This window comes from Homo sapiens, chromosome 3 (assembly GCF_000001405.40).
Source record: "Homo sapiens chromosome 3, GRCh38.p14 Primary Assembly".
NCBI lineage: Eukaryota > Metazoa > Chordata > Mammalia > Primates > Hominidae > Homo > Homo sapiens.
The window spans coordinates 185,543,788-185,564,552 of record NC_000003.12 but is presented as its reverse complement, the minus strand read 5'-3'; the positions used below and the strand labels follow the sequence as shown (position 1 = coordinate 185,564,552).

The 20,765-nt window shown below is 44.5% G+C and overlaps 1 protein-coding gene across 4 annotated transcripts in view, besides 4 other annotated features; it reads left to right on the top strand.

Moving 5' to 3' along the window:
* Positions 379-992: an enhancer, noted in NCBI's record as "H3K27ac hESC enhancer chr3:185281349-185281962 (GRCh37/hg19 assembly coordinates)". NCBI's record gives its function as "activates a minimal SCP1, AML or CMV promoter by ChIP-STARR-seq in primed H9 embryonic stem cells {active_cell/tissue: H9 hESC(primed)}" and the evidence as "EXISTENCE:reporter gene assay evidence [ECO:0000049][PMID:30033119]".
* Positions 993-1,606: an enhancer, noted in NCBI's record as "OCT4-NANOG-H3K27ac hESC enhancer chr3:185280735-185281348 (GRCh37/hg19 assembly coordinates)". NCBI's record gives its function as "activates a minimal SCP1, AML or CMV promoter by ChIP-STARR-seq in primed H9 embryonic stem cells {active_cell/tissue: H9 hESC(primed)}" and the evidence as "EXISTENCE:reporter gene assay evidence [ECO:0000049][PMID:30033119]".
* Positions 9,049-9,724: an enhancer, noted in NCBI's record as "H3K27ac hESC enhancer chr3:185272617-185273292 (GRCh37/hg19 assembly coordinates)". NCBI's record gives its function as "activates a minimal SCP1, AML or CMV promoter by ChIP-STARR-seq in primed H9 embryonic stem cells {active_cell/tissue: H9 hESC(primed)}" and the evidence as "EXISTENCE:reporter gene assay evidence [ECO:0000049][PMID:30033119]".
* Positions 11,876-11,955: an enhancer, noted in NCBI's record as "active region_20926". NCBI's record gives its function as "activates an Ori minimal core promoter by ATAC-STARR-seq in GM12878 lymphoblastoid cells {active_cell/tissue: GM12878}" and the evidence as "EXISTENCE:reporter gene assay evidence [ECO:0000049][PMID:35858748]".
* The window catches only part of LIPH (lipase H), a 46,327-nt gene continuing 37,526 nt past the window's right edge, over positions 11,965-20,765 (top strand). For 3 of the 4 annotated variants that reach the window (NM_001438029.1, NM_001438651.1, NM_139248.3), the window contains exon 1: positions 11,965-12,130. In NM_001438029.1, the coding sequence (NP_001424958.1) occupies positions 12,082-12,130 (49 nt within the window). In that variant the 5' untranslated portion in view covers positions 11,965-12,081. Of the gene's footprint in view, positions 12,131-19,747; positions 19,852-20,765 lie in introns of all 4 variants that reach the window. The other variant, NM_001438652.1, reaches the window with a different exon arrangement.

The following is a 20,765-nucleotide window of genomic DNA, read 5'->3' as shown; positions in this document are numbered from 1 at the left end:
TGGAGGCTTACTGTGGCCTCACACCACATTAGAATTTGGTCTGGAAATCAAACTTTAGAAACAAGAGATCGTAAGCCATTTTATACTGTCGACCTAAATTCCAGTCTAACAGTTCCTTTACAAAGTTGCGTAAAGCCCCCTTATATGCTAGTTGTAGGAAATATAGTTATTAAACCAGACTCTCAAACTATAACCTGTGAAAATTGTAGATTGCTTACTTGCATTGATTCAACTTTTAATTGGCAACACCGTATTCTGCTGGTGAGAGCAAGAGAGGGCGTGTGGATCCCTGTGTCCATGGACCGACCGTGGGAGGCCTCACCATCCGTCCATATTTTGACTGAAGTATTAAAAGGTGTTTTAAATAGATCCAAAAGATTCATTTTTACTTTAATTGCAGTGATTATGGGATTAATTGCAGTCACAGCTACGGCTGCTGTAGCAGGAGTTGCATTGCACTCTTCTGTTCAGTCAGTAAACTTTGTTAATCATTGGCAAAAAAATTCTACAAGATTGTGGAATTCACAATCTAGTATTGATCAAAAATTGGCAAATCAAATTAATGATCTTAGACAAACTGTCATTTGGATGGGAGACAGGCTCATGAGCTTAGAACATCGTTTCCAGTTACAGTGTGACTGGAATACATCAGATTTTTGTATTACACCCCAAATTTATAATGAGTCTGAGCATCACTGGGACATGGTTAGACACCATCTACAGGGAAGAGAAGATAATCTCACTTTAGACATTTCCAAATTAAAAGAACAAATTTTCGAAGCATCAAAAGCCCATTTAAATTTGGTGCCAGGAACTGAGGCAATTGCAGGAGTTGCTGATGGCCTCGAAAATCTTAACCCTGTCACTTGGGTTAAGACCATTGGAAGTACTACGATTATAAATCTCATATTAATCCCTGTGTGCCTGTTTTGTCTGTTGTTAGTCTGCAGGTGTACCCAACAGCTCCAAAGAGACAGCGACCATCGAGAACGGGCCATGATGATGATGGTGGTTTTGTCGAAAAGAAAAGGGGGAAATGTGGGGAAAAGCAAGAGAGATCAGATTGTTACTGTGTCTGTGTAGAAAGAAGTAGACATAGGAGACTCCATTTTGTTATGTACTAAGAAAAATTCTTCTGCCTTGAGATTCTGTTAATCTATAACCTTACCCCCAACCCTGTGCTCTCTGAAACATGTGCTCTGTCAACTCAGAGTTAAATGGATTAAGGGCGGTGCAAGATGTGCTTTGTTAAACAGATGCTTGAAGGCAGCATGCTCCTTAAGAGTCATCACCACTCCCTAATCTCAAGTACCCAGGGACACAAAAACTGCGGAAGGCCGCAGGGACCTCTGCCTAGGAAAGCCAGGTATTGTCCAAGGTTTCTCCCCATGTGATAGTCTGAAATATGGCCTCGTGGGAAGGGAAAGACCTGACCGTCCCCCAGCCCGACACCCGTAAAGGGTCTGTGCTGAGGAGGATTAGTATAAGAGGAAGGCATGCCTCTTGCAGTTGAGACAAGAGGAAGGCATCTGTCTCCTGCCCGTCCCTGGGCAATGGAATGTCTCGGTATAAAACCCGATTGTATGCTCCATCTACTGAGATAGGGAAAAACCGCCTTAGGGCTGGAGGTGGGACCTGCGGGCAGCAATACTGCTTTGTAAAGCATTGAAATGTTTATGTGTATGCATATCTAAAAGCACAGCACTTAATCCTTTACCTTGTCTATGATGCAAAGACCTTTGTTCACGTGTTTGTCTGCTGACCCTCTCCCCACAATTGTCTTGTGACCCTGACACATCCCCCTCTTCGAGAAACACCCACAGATGATCAATAAATACTAAGGGAACTCAGAGGCTGGCGGGATCCTCCATATGCTGAACGCTGGTTCCCCGGGTCCCCTTCTTTCTTTCTCTATACTTTGTCTCTGTGTCTTTTTCTTTTCCAAATCTCTCGTCCCACCTTACGAGAAACACCCACAGGTGTGTAGGGGCAACCCACCCCTACAGGTACATAACATAAAATACAGAAATGGCAAAAGATAAAGCCTACCTGTTAAACTAAGGCATGGAAGGGATGGATATTTTAAGTGATTTTTACTATATTTTGGCCCTTGAAAGTCATTAGAATGTGACTGCAAGTCGCCAGGATAATAAACCTGCATTGAGTTAGCTTAAGTGTGTAGAAAACAGAAAAAAAAAAAAAAAACTTTAAAAAATGTCCTTTGGTGTTGGCCATTTTCCTGCATCAGCCTTTAGCTGGAATGTCTTAGAAGTGAGCTCGGGAAAGTAGGGTTGTGGCTGGTTTCTTTTTATTCGTTCTGGGCTCCTTAGGCAGCTTCTATTTTTAATAGCCTGCCACTTGTTGCTGTCCTTACCCTAAGAGGAAGGAAGGAAGACTACAAGTGGCAGTAAGAGGCTAGAGAATGACAGGGTGGTAAAGTGTGTGTGTAAGCGCGGAGGCTGGAGGCAAGAGAGTAACAGGCTGGGAGAAAACCACTCCCCTTATCTTCTAGGCCACCTACGCCTGGAGCCAACCCTGTTAGGTAAGGTACTGAAAATGTTCTTTTTATTATTTTTACCACCCCCAAGCAGAGGGGCTTAGGGGAGGAGCACACATGCAGCACAGGGTCTGCTTTGAAGTTTCTTAGCCACAGTGTTTTTAAACATTTTATAAAAAAGCAAAACAAACATTCCTTACTGCTGTGTCTGTCTTCTGAAGATGACAGCAGCTGGCAGAGCTCCTCCACCTTAGCCTAGTTAGCATTTAATATATGGCTACAGGAGAGCGCCCCTTATTAGCGGGCTCCTCCCCCAGGGCTCTGTACTCTAGGCTGCTTCACACTCCTTTGCCCACCTTAGGCTAGTAAGGTTGGGGTGCACATGGACTGTTTTTTACCGCTTTCCCTAGGGGGCCAGGGAAGACAACAAATTGCTTGTCAACTGAGACATGCGAGGGGTGGCAGGGAAGGGCAGAAGTAGGAAAAGCAGCAGCAGGCCACTTCCTGGGCACAGTTACTAAGGCACGTGACCGTGGTGAGGCGGATCCTCAGGACCTGGCTGGAGCTGCCTGCTCTGTGCCTTTTGGCCTCCCCTCCGTCACCATAAACCCAGAAAGGGGTAACCTGCCCAGACTGCCAGTGACCAAATGGGCACTCCCTGGCATCTTAGCAACTCTCCTGCCCCAGGCCTCTGTAGGCAGCAAGAAAGCTACAGCTAGCTGGAATAAAACCCAGGAGGCAGCATGCAAACTCCCCTCGTACTCCAGAAAAACAGAAAAAAGACAAGGCCAGAAAGGCTGATGCTGGAAATAGGAAATGGGAACTTGCATATTAGGAGGACAATCATAATCAGCCACTTTCCTTCCCTCCTGGAGGCACCCCTCCAGCAGGGAAGTTGGTTGAGAGACGTGGTCACCCGATCATACCGATGTTCGCTGACCAGGGGGTCTTATCTAAGAACTGTCCCTTGGGCGGCCTCTAGTCTCCTTAAGGGGGATGGGAGGTGCTGTTGGCCGAACGAACGGGGCCAACAAACGCAGGTCCCTTGAAGGGTGGAGGAAAGGAGGGCAATGGGTTTTCTATAGGGGGAGGAAAAGGCTCCGGTCGCCTTATCCTTACTAGAAAAAATGTCCTCCTTAGGCCTCTCTACAGAAGGGAATGAAGTAGAGAGAGGAGCACTGCCCCGCCCCCGCTGTTCTGGTTCCTGTCTTTCCTCACTAGAAAAAATCTCTTCCTTATTCCCCATAGAAGGGAATGAAGTGGAGAGAGGAATCCCTCCCTTTAAATCTTCTGAATTATTTTCAGGTGGAGATAATGGGCCGTCTAACCGCGATCTGGCAGATAAAGAGGATACAACGCAGAGTGTACCAGCGCCCAGGTGGTCAAAATAGTAAAATTAGTAAAATGACCTTGCTCATATCCTCTTTTCAGGCAGCGACCTACCTGCTCCCATAGCTCTAAATCTAAGGTTCCTTGATCAGGAAACCAAGGACATTCCTGCCGAATTAAAAGCATGAGCTTGTGTAGAGCTCCAGGCTCTACAGTGCACTGGACAGCCTTAAATAGCTGTTGCACTGTTTTAAAAATACTTTCTGGGCCGGGCGCAGTGGTTCACACCTGTAATCCCAGCACTTTGGGAGGCGGAGGCGGGCGGATCACGAGGTCGGGAGGTCGAGATCACTCTGGCTAACGCGGTGAAACCCCGTCTCTACTAGGCTGGCAGGCGCCTGTAGTCCCAGCTACTCGGGAGGCTGAGGCAGGAGAATGGTGTGAACCCGGGAGGCGGAGCTTGCAGTGAGCGGAGATCGCGCCACTGCACTCCAGCCTGGGCGGCAGAGCGAGACTCCATATCAAAACAAACAAACAAACAAAAAAAACTTTCTGTTCTTTGGTCATTTCCTGACCCATGATAACTCAACACCTGATATTTTACGTGTGGGTCGTGTCCTCCTGATAGGAGTCAGGAATCTCTCCCTTTAAATCTTCTGAATTCTTTTCAGGTGGAGATTCACCGAAAATTGATGAGCTCTCCTCCTTCACACGTAACTTTAAGGCGATCATGTCGGGGACACCACTTGCAGAGCTTATAGTTTACAATGAATGCCACGAAATGGGTTCTCAGACAATTCCAGCTGAGCGGGGCGGGGGGCAGCTCTTATTTATTTTTTAACTATACTTTAAGTTTTGGGTTACATGTGCAGAACGTGCAGTTTTGTTACACAGGTATACACGTGCCCTGGTTTGCTGCACCCATCAACCCGTCACCTACATTAGGTATTTCTCCTAATGTTATCCCTCCCCTAGCCCCCCACTCCACCACAGGCCCCGATGTGTGAACAGACGCTTCTCAAAAGAAGACATTTATGCAGCCAACAGACACGAGAAAAGATCATCACTGGTCATTAGAGAAATGCAAATCAAAACCACGATGAGATACCATCTCACGCCAGTTAGAATGGGGGGTGGCTCTTCTTTTTTTTTTTTTTTTTTTGAGACGGAGTCGCTCTGTTGCCCAGGCTGGAGTGCAGTGGCATGATCTCGGCTCACTGCAACCTCTGCCTCCTGGGTTCAAGCAATTCTCTGCCTCAGCCTCCCGAGTAGCTGGGATTACAGGCACCTGCCACCACGCCCGGCTAATTTTTTTGTATTTTTAGTAGAGACGGGGTTTCATCATCTTGACCAGGCTGGTCTTGAATCGTGATCCACCCCTCTCCGTCTCCCAAAGTGCTAGGATTACAGGCGTGAGCCACCGCGCCCGGCATTGCGGGGTAGCTCTTCTAAGAGAGTCCGCCCCGGCATCCGTCCGCCAAGTATTTATTGAAAGGGCTTGTTAAACCACAAACATCCACTAGATGGCGTTTTTGAGGTCGGGTCGTGAGGCACCTGTGGCCTTGTAAAAGCACTCAAACTGCATTCTCAGGAGGCTGTTTTCAGCGTTCCTTATCACACCACACACTCCACTCCCTGTCCTGTTTTCAGGGTCGAGTTTCATTCTCATGCACAAATAACATACACACAGCGCCTCAGTATTTTTCCATGCCCCGACCTCAAATGCCTTGTACATAAGCTTGACTATGTTGCCTTGCGCCCCCCACAGTTGGCATCACAGGCATGAGCCACCATGCTGGCCTATATTAGCATTATTATTACCATTTTCATTGTTAATGTGTCTATCTTCTTGAGGGAAGGAGCATGTTCTATTTCTTCCTTATTTCTTGTACTGAGAGCTCCAGAAATGTTCCATAAATGAGGGAATGATGAAATGAAACAAATAAATGGAATTGGGGAAAGTTACCCTTATCTCTTTGCAGGATATGAATTGAAGAAACCCACTTATCTTTCCAAACTTGGACTGCAAGTGAGAAATGGCAGGGTCACTGATGTGGAAGGGAAGACCAAAGGGTGTTATAGTGAGTCATATACCAGCTTGGAGCCCTAGACCTGGGCGGGTGGGGACGTAGGTCACCTTTCTTGGCTGTTGAAACAAATGAGAGTTATAAAATCTCCACCCCTTAGTTCCATTACACTTCATACCTGTTTTTCCTGTCCATGCGTTTGGAAGCTTGCCTGTACCTTTTAAATATGTTCTCTGTAGCAAGTGACTTCTAGGTTTAATAAAGAAGAAGAAAAACCCATAGGTTTCTAGATTGGAAACTAGGAAAACTGTGGTATTCTTGAGTTGTAATCAGGAGGTCATAGAATTGAGAAAATAGTAATTAACTGATTGGAAATGAAGAAATGCTTTTTCTTAGAATACTTTTGAATAAATTATTTCAAATGATTATGAGTTGACTCATCTTTTAAAATTGTGGAAAAGTTCTTTTTTTTTTTTTTTGAGACTGAGTCTTGCTCTGTTGTGCAGACTGGAATGCAGTGGCGCAATCTCGGTTCACTGCAACCTCCACCTCCCGGGTTCAAGCGATTCTCCTGCCTCAGCCTCCCGAGTAGCTGGGATTACAGGCGCCTGCCACGATGCCCAGCTAATTTGTGTGTGTGTGTGTGTGTGTGTGTGTGTGTGTGTGTATATTTGAGACGGAGTTTCACTCTTGTTTCCCAGGCTGGAGTGCAATGGCACAACCTCAGCTCACCACAACCTCTGCCTCCCAACCTCTACCTCCTGGGTTCAAGCAATTCTCCTGTCTCAGCCTCCCAAGTAGCTGGGATTATAGGCATAAGCCACCACACCTGGTGAATTTTTTTGTATTTTTAGTAGAGACGGGATTTCATCATATTGGTGAGGCTGGTCTCGAACTCCTGACCTCAGGTGATCCACCCACCTCAGCCTCCCAAAGTGCTGGGATTACAGACATAAGCCACCACGCCCAGCCTGGAAAACTTTATTTTGAAATAATTTTTGGGTCGGGCCTGGTGGCATACACCTGTAATCCCAGGACTTTGGGAGGCCGAGGAGAGTGGATCACCTGAGTCCAGGAGTTTGAGACCAGCCTGGCCAACATGGCAAAACGCTGTCTCTACTAAAAAATACAAAAATTAGCTCTGCGTGGTGGCACATGCCTGTAATCCCAGCTACTCAGGAGGCTGAGGGGCAGGAGGATAGCTAGAAACTGGGAGGCGGAGGTTGTGGTGAACCGAGGTTGCACCACTACACTCTAGCCTGGGCTACAGAGCAAGACTGTCACAAAAAAAAAAAAAAGAAAACTAAAAGAAAATAAAAATAATTATTGGTTCTCAGAAAGTTACAAAAATAGGTGCAGTGGCTTGTGCCTATGGTCCCAGCTACTCAGGAGGCTGAGGTGGAGGATCAGTTGAGCCCAAGAGTTGGAGGTTGTGGTGGGTGACAGGGTGAGACCTTGTCTCAAAAAAATAAAAAATCAATATAAAAATAAGCAAAACAAAAAAATTGACCCTGGTTGACAATCCACAGATCTCATTTAGAGTTTCACATGTAAATGTGTGTAGTTCTGTGCTATTTTATCACCTGTCCACCACCACATAGCCACTACCACAATTAAGATACACAATTATTTCATCACTAAAAGATGATTTTTTTTTTTTTAAGATGGAGTCTTGCTCTTGTCACCCAGGCTGGAGTGCAATGGCACAATATCGGCTCACTGCAACCTCTACCTCCTGGGTTCAAGCAATTCTTCTGCCTCAGCCTTCCGAGTAGTTGGGATTACAGGCACCTGCCACCACACCCAGCTAACTTTTGTATTTTTAGTAGAGTCGGGGTTTCACCATGTTGGCCAGGCTCGTCTCCAACTCCTGACAAAGGTGATCCACCTGCCTCGGCCTTCCAAAGTGCTGGGATTACAGGCATGAGCCTGGCCAACTAAAAGATTCTTCTACAGTCAAACCCATTCTCCTCTCCTCCCTGCCTCTCCTCTCCCCATTCTCGGGAATGTTTTATGTTTTCTTATATTTGATATTTCTCACTATTGCAAAAAAATAAGGGACAGATTCTCCCATCGATTTTTGTGCTGTTCTGAAAGCCTAAAATAGAAAGGAGCACGTTAAGAAGTTAGAGACCTTCTGTGCCCACCAGCAGGAAAATCGTTAATAGTAACACAAAGAGGCCAGGCACGGTGGCTCATGCCTGTAATCCCAGCACTTTGAGAGGCTAAGGCGGGAGGACTGCTTGAGTCCAGGGGTTTGAGACCAGCCTGGGCAACACTGTGAGACACCATCTCTACAAAAACATTAAAAAATTAGCAGGGCATGGTGACATGTGCCTGTGACCCCAGCTCCTCAGGAGGCTGAGGTGGGAGAATCCCTTAAGCCCAGGAGGTCAAGACCAGTGAGCTGTGATGGAGTCACTGCACTCAAGTCTGGATGACAGAGTGAGACCCTGTTTCAAAAACAACAACAACAACAAAAAGTAACACAAAGAATCCTCCCAACAGAAATGATTCCCTTTCCTATAATTGGATAGTTTCCAGGAAAATGTACATTAGCTCTGTGTAGATAAGCACTTGGCATGGTACTTAAAACTCACAGGACCTAACAAATATTTATCAGGCAAGTACACTGATTGAACAGGGAGCAAGGAATTCCCTAACAGGTTCCTAAAAGAGATGTGAAACAAGTCTCCATTTGTTCCAGAGGGCAGTTGTTTTCAAATTAGTAAAGCTTACAGCAATAAAAGCAAATTTTTCTCTAAACTAAACAAAAGCTGAGCGAAAAATAGACAGGCTAACAGGCCATCTATTTGGTTTTTCTTTTTTTTTTGTTGTCAAGACAGAGTCTCACTCTGTCGCCCAGGCTGGAGTGCAGTGGCGCGATCTTGGCTCACTGCAACCTCCACCTCCCAGATTCAAGCGATTCTCCTGCCTCAGCCTTCCAAGTAGCTGGGATTATAGGCGTTTGCCACCACGCCTGGCTCACTTTTGTATTTTTAGTAAAGATGAGGTTTCACCATGTTGGCCAGGCTGGTGTCGAACTCCTGACCTCAGGTGATCCGCCCGCCTTGGCCTCCCAAAGTGTTGGAATTACAGGCCTGGGCCATCACACCCGACCTATTTGGTTTCACTTATTCACAGTTCCTTAATTTATTTCTCCAAGCAGGAGACAAAACCAAAACCAAAAACAGGCTGAAGTGGTGACTGAAGTCTCTCACCTGAAGACCCAAGACTTAGGGTGCCCCCAGTCCTAAAAGTCCTGTCTAAGTCTCTCTTCTCAACATTGTGCAGCCTGCCTTCTGCTGGATAGGAAAGGTACAGATGTGTGGCCAGCTAGATAATAACAACAGTTATCAAGCTGCCAGAGCGCTCACCTTAGCGCAGTGCTAAGGACTTTAGCTGTAATATCTCATTTAGTCCGTATAACAACCCTGTGAAATGTGTGATTTTATTATCTTCATTTTACAGCTAAGAAAACAGACTTTAAGTACCTAAATGTTGGGTCAGGCACGGTGACTCATGCCTGTAATCTCAACACTTTGGGAGGCTGAGGTGGGAATATCACTTGAATCCAGAAGTTCTGAGACCAGCCTGGGCAATGTAGCAAGTATCCCACCTCTACAATCACAAAATTAGCCGTGCGTGGTGGCATACACCTGTAGTTCTAGGGAAGCTGAGGCAGGGGGATCACTTGAGCCTAGGAGTTCGAGGTTACAGTGAGCTTGCACCACTGCACTCCAGCCTGGGTGGTAGAGTGAGACTTTGTCTGAAAAAAAAAAAAAAAGAAAAGAAAAGAAAGCGGCGGGCCGGGCGCGGTGGCTGACGCCTGTAATCCCAGCACTTTGGGAGGCCGAGGCGGGCGGATCACGAGGTCAGGAGATGAGACCATCCTGGCTAACACGGTGAAACCTCGTCTCTACTAAAAATACAAAAAAATCAGCCGGGCGTGGTGGCGGGCGCCTGTAGCCCCAGCTACTCGGGAGGCTGAGGCGGGAGAATGGCGTGAACCCGGGAGGTGGAGCCTGCAGTGAGCCGAGATCGCGCCACTGCATTCCAGCGTGTGCGACAGTGAGACTCCGTCTCACAAAAAAAAAAAAAAAAAAAAAAAAAAAAAAGAACTTAAATGTTTTGCCTAAGTCTACACAACTAAGCTAGTGGAAGACAAGGGATTTGAACTCAGGTTAGTATAATAAGTCAGCCCTAGGCAGTCTTGGTATTCATTAGGTCTGATGTGTGACACAGAAATCTGCACACAGTACTTTTAAAAGCCCCCAGGTGATTCTGACTTACTGACTTCTTGGGAAGCATTGCTAGAATCTACTTCCTGCAAAGGAATCTCCTGCTACTCAAATGGGGTGGGAACATGAAGAGAACTAATAGATAAACTTATATGAGCGGTACTATTACTTCACAAACCCATACTTCAGGTAGACAATGCTAAATGACTAATTGCTTTTGCCTGATGCTTTGGATGAAATGTTTTCTTAAGTTGCGTCTTTATTATTTATTTATTTATTTATTTAGAGACGGGGTCTCACTCTGTCACCCAGGCTGGAGTGCAGTGGTATGATTTTGGCTCATGGCAACTTCCTGCTTCCTGGGCTCAGGTGATCCTCCCACTTCAGCCTCCTTAGTAGCTGGGACCACAGGTGCACTAAAGAATGTCTGTATTTTTTTTCAGAGATGGGTTTTTGCCATGTTGCCCAAGCTGGACTGGAACTCCTGGGCTCAAGCGATCCACCCCCTTCAGCCTCCCAAAGTGCTGAGATTACAGGCATGAGCCACCGCGCCCAGCATATTAATGTTTTTTATTATTTTTTATTTATTTATTTTTTTTGAGACGGAGTCTCGCTCGGTTGCACAGGCTGGAGTGCAGTGGAGCGATCTTGGCTCACTGCAAGCTCCGCCTCCCAGGTTCACGCCATTCTCCCGCTTCAGCCTCCCGAGTAGCTGGCAGGCGCCCGCCACCACGCCCGGCTAATTGTATTTTTAGTAGAGAGGGGGTTTCACCGTGTTAGCCAGGATGGTCTCGATCTCCTGACCTCGTGATCCGCCCGCCTCGGCCTCCCAAAGTGCTGGGATTACAGGTTTGAGCCACCGCGCCCGGCTTATTAATTGATTTTTAAGCTCATCAGACCACTAGAAGCCTGAGTTAGTGTTGCAAGCACTCTCGCCAGAAAGGGAATTAAATTACCTTGGAGCTATGAAGCACAAGTTTAGTTACCTCTATCCCTGAGATACATAGATTCTGGCATGGGGTTCTATTTGAAAGTTTTTCATTTATTTTTCCTTTTTATTTATGTATTTATTGTTTGAGACAGTCACTCTGTCGCCCAGGCTGAAGTGCAGTGATGTGACCTGGACTCATTGCAACCTCTGCCTCCCGGGTTCAAGCAATTCTTGTGCCTCAGCCTCCTGAGGTAGCTGGGATTACAGGTGCGTGTCACCACACCCGGCTAATTTTTGTAATTTTAGTAGAGACGGTTTCGCCATGTTGGCCAGGCTGGTCTCAAACTCCTGACCTCAAGCAGTCCACCCGCCTCAGCCTCCCAAAGTGTTGGGATTACAGGCGTGAGCCACCGTGCCGGCCTGTTTTTCTTTTTTAAAAAAGACCTATTAGAGCTGTAGAAATTCTCGGTAGGAAGAAATACAAATAAAGATATATAATACCAAAAAAAGTTTCTTTTAATCTGAAGCATACATATATTTTGGCAAATGTAGATGTATAATTGGACCTAATGAAATGTTCTTAAAATCTAAAGACTGCCCTATGATGAATGAGTGTATGAATTAACATAAAAACTGGTTTTGTATATACAGGCCAACAGATACAAACTGGATTTGTTATTTCATTCACAAGAACCAAGGGGAAAAGATCTCAAGTCACACTTGGTTTCAACACACCAAGCCAAACAACTAATAAACCGCCCACGAAGAATGAAACTATTCTGAACTCGTCATTCTGCAGATGCAGATTATAATATTAAGATATGCACAAAATTGTATAAAGTAGACAATGAGTGACCTTTTATTGAAAAGAGGAGGAGTCAAAGATCCTGAAAGGGTTGGGACTGCCTGCAGTCAGTCCCTAGGGAACTTCCTGTTGTCACCACACCTCTGAGTCGTCTGAGCTCACTGTGAGCAAAATCCCACAGTGGAAACTCTTAAGCCTCTGCGAAGTAAATCATTCTTGTGAATGTGACACACGATCTCTCCAGTTTCCATATGTTGAGATTCTACTTATTCATCAGTTTGTTGTGCTTGTCAAGATCAGGTAGGTTATTTACAAACTGGTTTTCTTAACTGCTTAAAAAATAGAATTAGTTGTGTTGTCATTTTGCATGTCATCATTCCACTTCCTTCGGTGAACTTAAGTCCATAGAGTCGTTTTTAAGGAAAAAGATATAGGAAGCCTGTATCATTTCCTTAACATTTCCTTAAAAAAAAAAAAAAAAGATACAGGTTAGATGAACTTTCTCATCCTGAAAAAAATTTCTCAATAATAAAAGAAGCTATTATGTCTTTGAATTAATTTCTTCTTATTTACAACAATCAAATATGCTGAAAAATCTAGAAGTCTTATTTTCTTTCTTAGCCTATTTATCTGTGCCTTTCTAGTTCTGTGAAATGAGATGATTTATTTTCTGGAAATATAAAAATCTATCTTATATTTAATATATCAAGGGTTGGTTTTTATATTTTCATGCATTGAGAGTTTATTTAAATTATTCTTAGAGAAAACATAATTTTATATAGATAAACTCCTTGGAATGGTTCCTGGCATTCTTATAACTTAAAAATTATTAATCATAATGAAGAAATCAAAATTAAAACCCTAATGTACCAGATAATGTAACAAAAATAAAGTGAAATGCTTAAAAAAATAAAATTCAACACTTTGCAACCTTTTTAGGTATTCAGTTTTGTTTCAGATAGCTGTGGTAATGAAGGTTGATATAATTTTTTTGAAGGGCAAAGGGTAAATATGTTATATATTAAGACTTGTAAAAATGTTCATATACTTTAAGCTAGTAAAACCATTGCTGGGAATTTATTCTAAATGCATAACTTTTAAAAGAAAAAAGCCTCCTATGCAGAGATAAGTCTAACTATATTACTTGCAATAACTTGAAACTAGATATAACCAAAATGTTTCTACATACAGGAATGGATAAAAGACAGTATATCAACTTAATTTTTTTAAAGTAGCCTTTCAACTGATTCTGATGATATGCAGAAATAAGCAAACATTTTTAAAGTAATGCAAAGTAGAAAAAGTAGAACTTAAATTTGTTGGTAAACTATAATTACAACTATGTTAAAATCATGTATGTATGCATATGTGAATGAAGTTTAGAAGGGAAATGGAAAAATAGTATTAGGATTTCTGGCCTATAAATTTTTCTTTATATATGGTTTTGAAGTTGATTTTCTAGTAAGTTAAAATCATACCAATGATGATATTTTTAACTGAGAACTCGATATTTTAAAGTATATGTTTATTATTTTTTTTGTTTGTTTTTGAGATGGAGTCTTGCTCTGTCATCCAGGCTGGAGTGCAGTGGCGTGATCTCGGCTCACTACAACCTCCCCCTCCCTGGTTCACGCGATTCTCCTGCCTCAGCCTCCCAAATAGCTGGGACTACAGGAGTGCGCCACTGCGCCTGGCTAATTTTGTATTTTTAGTAGAGATGAGGTTTCACCACGTTGGCCAGGATGGTCTCAATCCTGTGATCCACCCGCCTTGGCCTTCCAAAGTCTGGGATTACAGGTGTGAGCCACCGCGCCCGGCCTATTATCATTTTTAAATTAAAAAAATTAAGATAAATGGTCAGGCGCAGTGGCTCATGCCTATAATCCCAGCACTCTGAAAGGCCAAGGCGCGTGGATCACCTGAGGTCAGGAGTTCAAGACCAGCCTGGCCAACATGGTGAACCCCATCTCTACTGAAAATACAAAATTAGCCAGGCCTGGTGGCATGCACCTGTTATCCCAGCTACTCGGGAGGCTGAGACAGGAGAATCTCTTGAACCTGGGAGGCAGAGGTTGCAGTGAGCCAAGATCGTGCCTCTGCATTCCAGCCTGGGCAACAAAGTGAGACTCCATCTCAAAAAAAATATATAATAATATAAATGTAGAGGTATCTTAAATGGGTCAGGGACAACCCTAACACAAAAACACAAGATGGCTTGTGGGTACCTTCTTCCAGTCTTTCATTATGTATCTCCATTTATAAAGTTGAAAAAAATGGCAACTTAATTTTTTTGTGACCTTCCTTTTCCTTAGCATCTTCTCAGAAGTAAAGTCTTGTTTTACTGCTAGATTCTAGAAGACTGTCACTGCTGCATGATAGAATCTCAGCAGACAGAGACACACAAGAATAAACTTCTGTAGGTAGAAGGAAAAAAAATAGTATAGCTGTAAGCTAATTCTAGTCTTCTCAGTGTCTAGGAAACCATAAACTTGGAACTTTCATTAGGGAGGGTGTTGAATAATATTCATCTGGTAGCAGACATTATTAATCTCAAATACATGGACTTCTTGTTTTTCCCTTCTGCTTGCAGTTCAAAAATTAACAAGCATTAAAATGGGCTTCAGAAATCCCAAGGATACAAGTCATTCAGTTTCAGAAATGTTTGTTTTGTTTTCTAATCTTTGTGAAATAATGTTAGGAATGTTTGCCATAATCTTACCAGTGAACAAAGCAATGGCTAACAAACTAAAGTACACTAGAATCCCCTGAGGGCTTGATTAAAATGCAGACTCCACCTCCAAAAATCCAAACTTAGTAGATCTGGGAGTGAGATCCTGGAATCTACATCTTAAAAAATTTTTTTGGTTGGTCCTAGGGGCTCACATCTGTAGTCCCAGCACTTGGGGAGGCCGAGGTGGGAGGATCGCTTGAGCCCAGGAGTTGGAGGCTGCAGTGAGCTATGACTGTGCCTCTGAGTAGCCACTGCACTTCAGCCTGGCTGAACAAGACCCTGTCTCAAAAATTTTCCCGCCCTGTCTGTATCTGGAACTTACAGGCACATACCATTGTGCCTGGCCTAGAATCTGCATTTTTAACAATTCCTCAGGGTTTTTCAGCTGCAGGTGGTGAAACAAACATAGGTTTTAAAATATTGTTCTAAATTAAGACTGCTTGACATAAGTATTTTTAAAAGTTACTCTGCTATCGATATTTTGGCCCATAGCAACTGTAAAACTAGATAGATATTTTCCCAGAAAAAATTGTTTAATGCCAAAACCAGAATTATTTCCTCAGATATTTGCAATCCTCTAGAATGATTTGGAACTGTGCCTGTGTGGTGACTCATCTTTCTCTAACAAGTTGGCAAAGGTGAATGAGGGGGTGTGAATGTGCATATTTATGCACATGATTCAGAAATGAGAATGAGAAAATCTGGCATCTCATTTATTTTCTCGGTTGCATCCTAAAGAAACACAGCCAGTGGTTAAAAGCAGGCATGTCCTTCCAATCAAGAGGGCATCCTGCCCATATGCTTCTTGCCTGTCTCCGCCCAGGGTAAAAAAGAAACAAATATTTTCTTTTTTTTTTTTTTTGAGATGGAGTCTCGCTCTGTTGCCAGGCTGGACTGCAGTGGTGCGATCTCGGCTCACTGCAACCTCTGCCTCCCGGGTTCAAGCAATTCTCTGCCTCAGCCTCCCAAGTAGCTGGGATTACAGGCACCCACCACCACGCCCAGCTAATTTTTGTATTTTTAGGAGAGACGGAGTTTCGCCATCTTGGCCAGGCTGGTCTTGAACTCTTGACCTCGTGATCCCCCTGCCTCGGCCTCCCAAAGTGCTGTGATTACGGGTGTGAGCCACCATGCCTGGCAAAACAAATGCTTCACCAGGTTTGACCCTGTCCAACTGTAATCCTTTCACAGCCTGGCTCAGGATGCGGTTTGTTTTGTTTTGTTTTGTTTTGTTTTGTTTTGTTTTTGTTTTGTTTTGTTTCTGAGATGGAGTCTTGCTCTGTCTCGCCCAGGCTAGAGTGCAGTGGCACGATCTTGGCTCACTGTAGCCTCTGCCTCCCAGGTTCAAGTGATTCTCCTGCCTCAGCCTCCCAAGTAGCTGGGACTAAAGGCATGTGCCACCACACCCAGCTAATTTTGTATTTTTAGTGGAGATGGGGTTTCACCATATTGGCCAGGCTGGTCTCGAACTCCTGACCTCAGGTGATCCACCTACCTCGGCCTCCCAAAGTGCTAGGATTACAGGTGTGAGCCACCGTGCTTGACCTAGGATGAGTTTTTTTTTGTTGTTTTTTTTTTCCTTTTATGTGAGACAGAGTCTCGCTCTGTCACCAGGCTGGAGTGCAGTGGCGCGATCTTGGCTCATTGCAACCTCCGCCTCCCTGGTTCTAGCAATTCTCCTGCCTCAGCCTCCCAAGTAGCTGGGACTACCGGTGCCCACCACCACGCCCAGCTAATTTTTGTATTTTTAGTAGAGACAGGGTTTCACCAGGTTGGCCAGGATGGTCTCGATCTCTTGACCTGGTGATTCGCCCGCCTCGGCCTCCCAACATGCTGGGATTACAGGCTTGAGCCACTGCGCCCGGCCCCAACTCATTTTCTAATACGAGGAAGGCAAAGTTTCTGGCCTAAAAAAACTTCAGATTTTTATTTCTTGGACTTTTGGAAATTCCTTCAGAACAGTGTCTTCAGGCAAGCATAAGAGTGTGCTCAAGCATAGGTTACTGTGAACATTTTGGCATCAACGGCATCAACGTGTAATGAGCTTGTATCCCAGACAGTAACATCCATTGCCAAGCATGCAGAATACTTGAAAATGTATCTGTTAATCTTTATCTGGGTCTCAGTAAATACTTTCTTTCTTTCTTCTTCTTTTTTTTTTTTTTGGAGATGGAGTTTTGCTCTTGTTGCCCAGGCTGGAGTGCAGTGGCGCGATCTCGGCTCATTGCAACCTCTGCCTCCCAGATTCAAGCAATTCTCCTGCCTCAGCCTCCCAAGTAACTGGGGATTACAGGTGCCTGCCACCATGCCCGGCTAATTTTTTGTATTTTTAGTAGAGACGGGGTTTCGCCATGTTGGCCAGGCTGGCCAGGCTGGTCTCAAACTCCTGAACTCAGGCAATCCACCCTCCTCAGCCTCCCAAAGTTCTGGGATTACAGGCGTGAGCCACCGTGCCCTGCCTTCAGTAAATACTTTCAGGCAGCATCAAGTCAGTAAACCTGACTGTGGACCTCTGTTCTAAAGAAGTTATTAATATACATCTATGTCACGTTTGGGGATGGGGTGGAGGGGAAGAAAGCTCAAGCACACCTTAGAAACCAAAACTCGAGATAAAAAAGCAGTATGAGTCAGGGCTGTTTTACTTCCTGACTGGGCACTACACGTCAAGGTTAATTTCATGTAGGACGTGAAATTGACATGAAATTCTGTCATGTCCTACATGAATTTCACTTCTACATGTCCTACAGAATTTCACTTCTGTAATGTAGGTTTGGAGGTCAGTGGACCAAAGGGTCCAAGGCACCTTCATCAAGGTCTGAGATGGGTCTGAGATACCTTCTTTTTTTTTTTTTTGAGACGGAGTCTTTCTGTCACCCAGGCTGGAGTGCAGTGGTGTGATCTCGGCTCACTGCAACCTCCGCCTCCCGGGTTCAAACAATTCCCACCTTTGCTTATTGACTATCGTAGAATCTCAGAATTTCCTCGCCTCTGTCCATAATTCTGTCTTCTTTTTTCACAGATGCCTCTTTGGATATGAATGAGGAGTCTCCTCTCTTTGAAGAGGGTTTTCTCCAGTCAGAAATATGGGAAATAAAATTAATTCCTCCAAAATGAGGTAGAAGAAGCCAGAGCTGAGTGTGTAGCTGAGACAGCACAGGCTTTTTTTGTTTTGTTTTTTGTTTGTTTTTAGACAAGTTCTTACTCTGTTGCCCAGGCTGGAGTGCAGTAGTGTGATCGCAGCTCACAGCTCACTGCAGCCTTGATTTCCTGGGTGCAAGCCACCTTCTGCCACAGGCTCAGTGTAGCTGGGACCACCAGCATGTGCAACCACGCCCAGCTAACTTTTTGATTTTTTCTAGAGACAGGGTCTCACCTTATTGTTCCAGGCGGGTCTCGAACTCTTGGGCTCAAGTGATCCTCCTACCTTGGCCTCCAAAAGTGTTGGGATTACAGGCGTGAGCCACAGCACCCAGTGGGAAATTTTTTTTTTTTTTAAAGAGATGGGTGTTGCCATATTGCCCAGGCAGGCTTTGAACCCTGGACTCAAGTGGTTTTCCTGCCTCAGCCTCCCAAGTAGCTGGGACTATATAGGCCTGCACCACCATGCCCAGCTTTAGAATTTTTTTTTTTTTTTTTTTTGAGACGGAGTCTTACTCTGTCGTCCAGGCTAAGAGTGCAGTGGCACAATCCTGGCCCACCACAACTGCCACCTGCTGGGTTCGAGCGATTCTCCTGCCTCAGCCTCCCGAGTAGCTGGGATTACAGGTGTGCGCTACCACACCCGGCTAATTTTTGTATTTTTATTTATTTTTATTTATTTATTTTTGAGACAGAGTCTCACTCTGTCACCCAGCCTGGAGTGCAGTGGCTGGGTCTCGACTCACTGCAAACTCTGCCTCCTGGGTTCAAGAAATCCTCCTGCCTCAGCCTCCCAAGTAGCTGGGATTACAGGCATGTGCCACCACACCCAGCTAATTTTTTTTTTTTTTTGTATTTTTAGTAGAGATGGGGTTTCACCATGTAGGCCAGGCTGGTCTCAAACTCCTGACCTCAGGTGATCTGCCTGCGTCAGCCTCCCAAAGTGCTGGGATTACAGGCGTAAGCCACTGTGCCTGGCCTATTATGATTATTTTACAGATGCAAAGCTGAGGCCCAGAGAGGTTAGGCAATTAATTACCAGGGGTCACATAGCTAATAGGCAGTGGAGTTGGACATCAAACCTAGGTCTGACTCCAAAACTCATGCTGTTTCCAAAGACGTGTTTTTTTGTTTTTTTGTTTTATGGAGATGGGATCTCACTATGTTGCCCAGGGTGGTCTCCCACTCCTCACGTCAAGGGACCCTCCCAAAGTGCTGGGATTACAGGTGTGAGCCACCCGCACTTGGCCTGTATTTGTATTTAGGACATTAGACTAGGGTTGGCAAACATTTTCTGTAAAGAGCCAGAGAGTAAATATTTTCAGCTTTATGGGCCATTAGTCATAGCCATTCAGCTCTGCCTTTAGAGCAGGAAAGTAGCCGTGGACAATATATAAATGGGCATGACCAGGTTTGACCTGCAGGCGACCATGCATTAAATTGCAAGAAAACATCTCAGGCACAATTATGCTAAAGAAGTTACAGTGAGATTGCCCTGGTATCCTACTTGGATATGTTTCTTTTCTTTTAAGAGATAGAAGGGAATACATGATAATCATGCCTGCTCTAAATAGGAGTCTGAATTCCTTATCAAAGGATATTGGAAACACCACTCATCCAACTGTAATTTTCCAACTGTCAACAGGAAATGGCATTTCAGAGTAATTGAATTTCAGAGTAGTCTGAAAAGGACAGGCAAAATTTCTCCTGTTTCAGATAAACTCAAATAGAAGAAGTTAAGCTTTAAAAACCAGTTTAACATGTTCTGTGGTCACTGGTTATATGTGCTCTGTTGCTCTACCTCTGAACAACCTTGACTTTGTACCATAACAATAACATAACTCAAAAGGATTTTGCTTTCTGAAGGCATACAAGTATCTGATGCCTTTAGAAATACCAACAGAAATGAATATTTAAAGAATGAGGCCGGGTGTGGTGGCTTGCACCTGTAATCCCAACACTTTGGAGGATCTGATGTCTGCAGAACATGCTAGCAGGTTGATATTCATTTGTTCAAGCAACATTTATTGATGCTAACTCTGAACCAGGCCCTGTTCTTGGCACTGAGAATACAACGGGTGGAACAGATGAATTATCCTGGAGCTTCTACATCAGTGGGGAGTTTTTCTGGAAAAAGGAAATAATGCTTCAGGTATGTTGCAGAAAAAATGCAAGTGACATAAAAAGGAGAAAATTCTCGCCCAGGCTCAGTAACTCATGCCTGTAATCCCAGCACCTTGGGCAGCTGAGGCAGGAGGATCACCTGAGGTCAGGAGTTCAAGACCAGCCTGGCCAACATGGCGAAAAGCCATATCTACTAAAAATACAAAAATTAGCCAGGTGTGGTGGTGGGCGCCTGTAATCCTAGCTACTTGGGGAGGTTGAGGCAGGAGAATCACTTGAACTTGGGAGGCAGAGTTTGCAGTGAGCGGAGATCACACCATTGCACTTCAGCCTGGGTGACAAGAGCGAAACTCCATCTCAAAAAACAAAACAAAACAAAACAAAAAAAAACAACAGAGGAAAATTCTCCATTCTCCAGGGTAGAATTCAGTACAAGAAAATAGTAGAATATTGATTTTTCCTGAAGGAAAGAGTATGGTTCAAAGCCAGGTCATTATTTAGGCTAAGGAATTTATTCCCAGATACAAATGAATTTAGGCATTATATGAACCATGAGCCCTCCTTGAAAGACAGCAAGAGCGCCAGGCATGCTGGCTCAAGCTTGTAATCCTAGTACTTTGGGAGGCGGAGGCAGGTGGATTACCTGAGGTCAGGAGTTCGAGACCAGCCTGGTCAACACAGTGAAACCCTGTCTCTACTAAAAATATAAAAATTAGCTGGGCGTGGTGGCATGCACCTATAATCTCAGCTACATGGGAGGCTGAGGCAGGAGAATCACTTGAACCCGGGAGGTGGAGGTTACAGTGAGCCGAGACCATGCCATTGCACTCCAGCCTGGGGGACAAGAGTGAGAAACCGTGCATCAAAAAAAAAAAAAAAAAAAGCAAGAGCCAGTCACCTAGTGGTAAAGGGAGAAGCTTAGGAAAAGGACTCAGTGAGCAA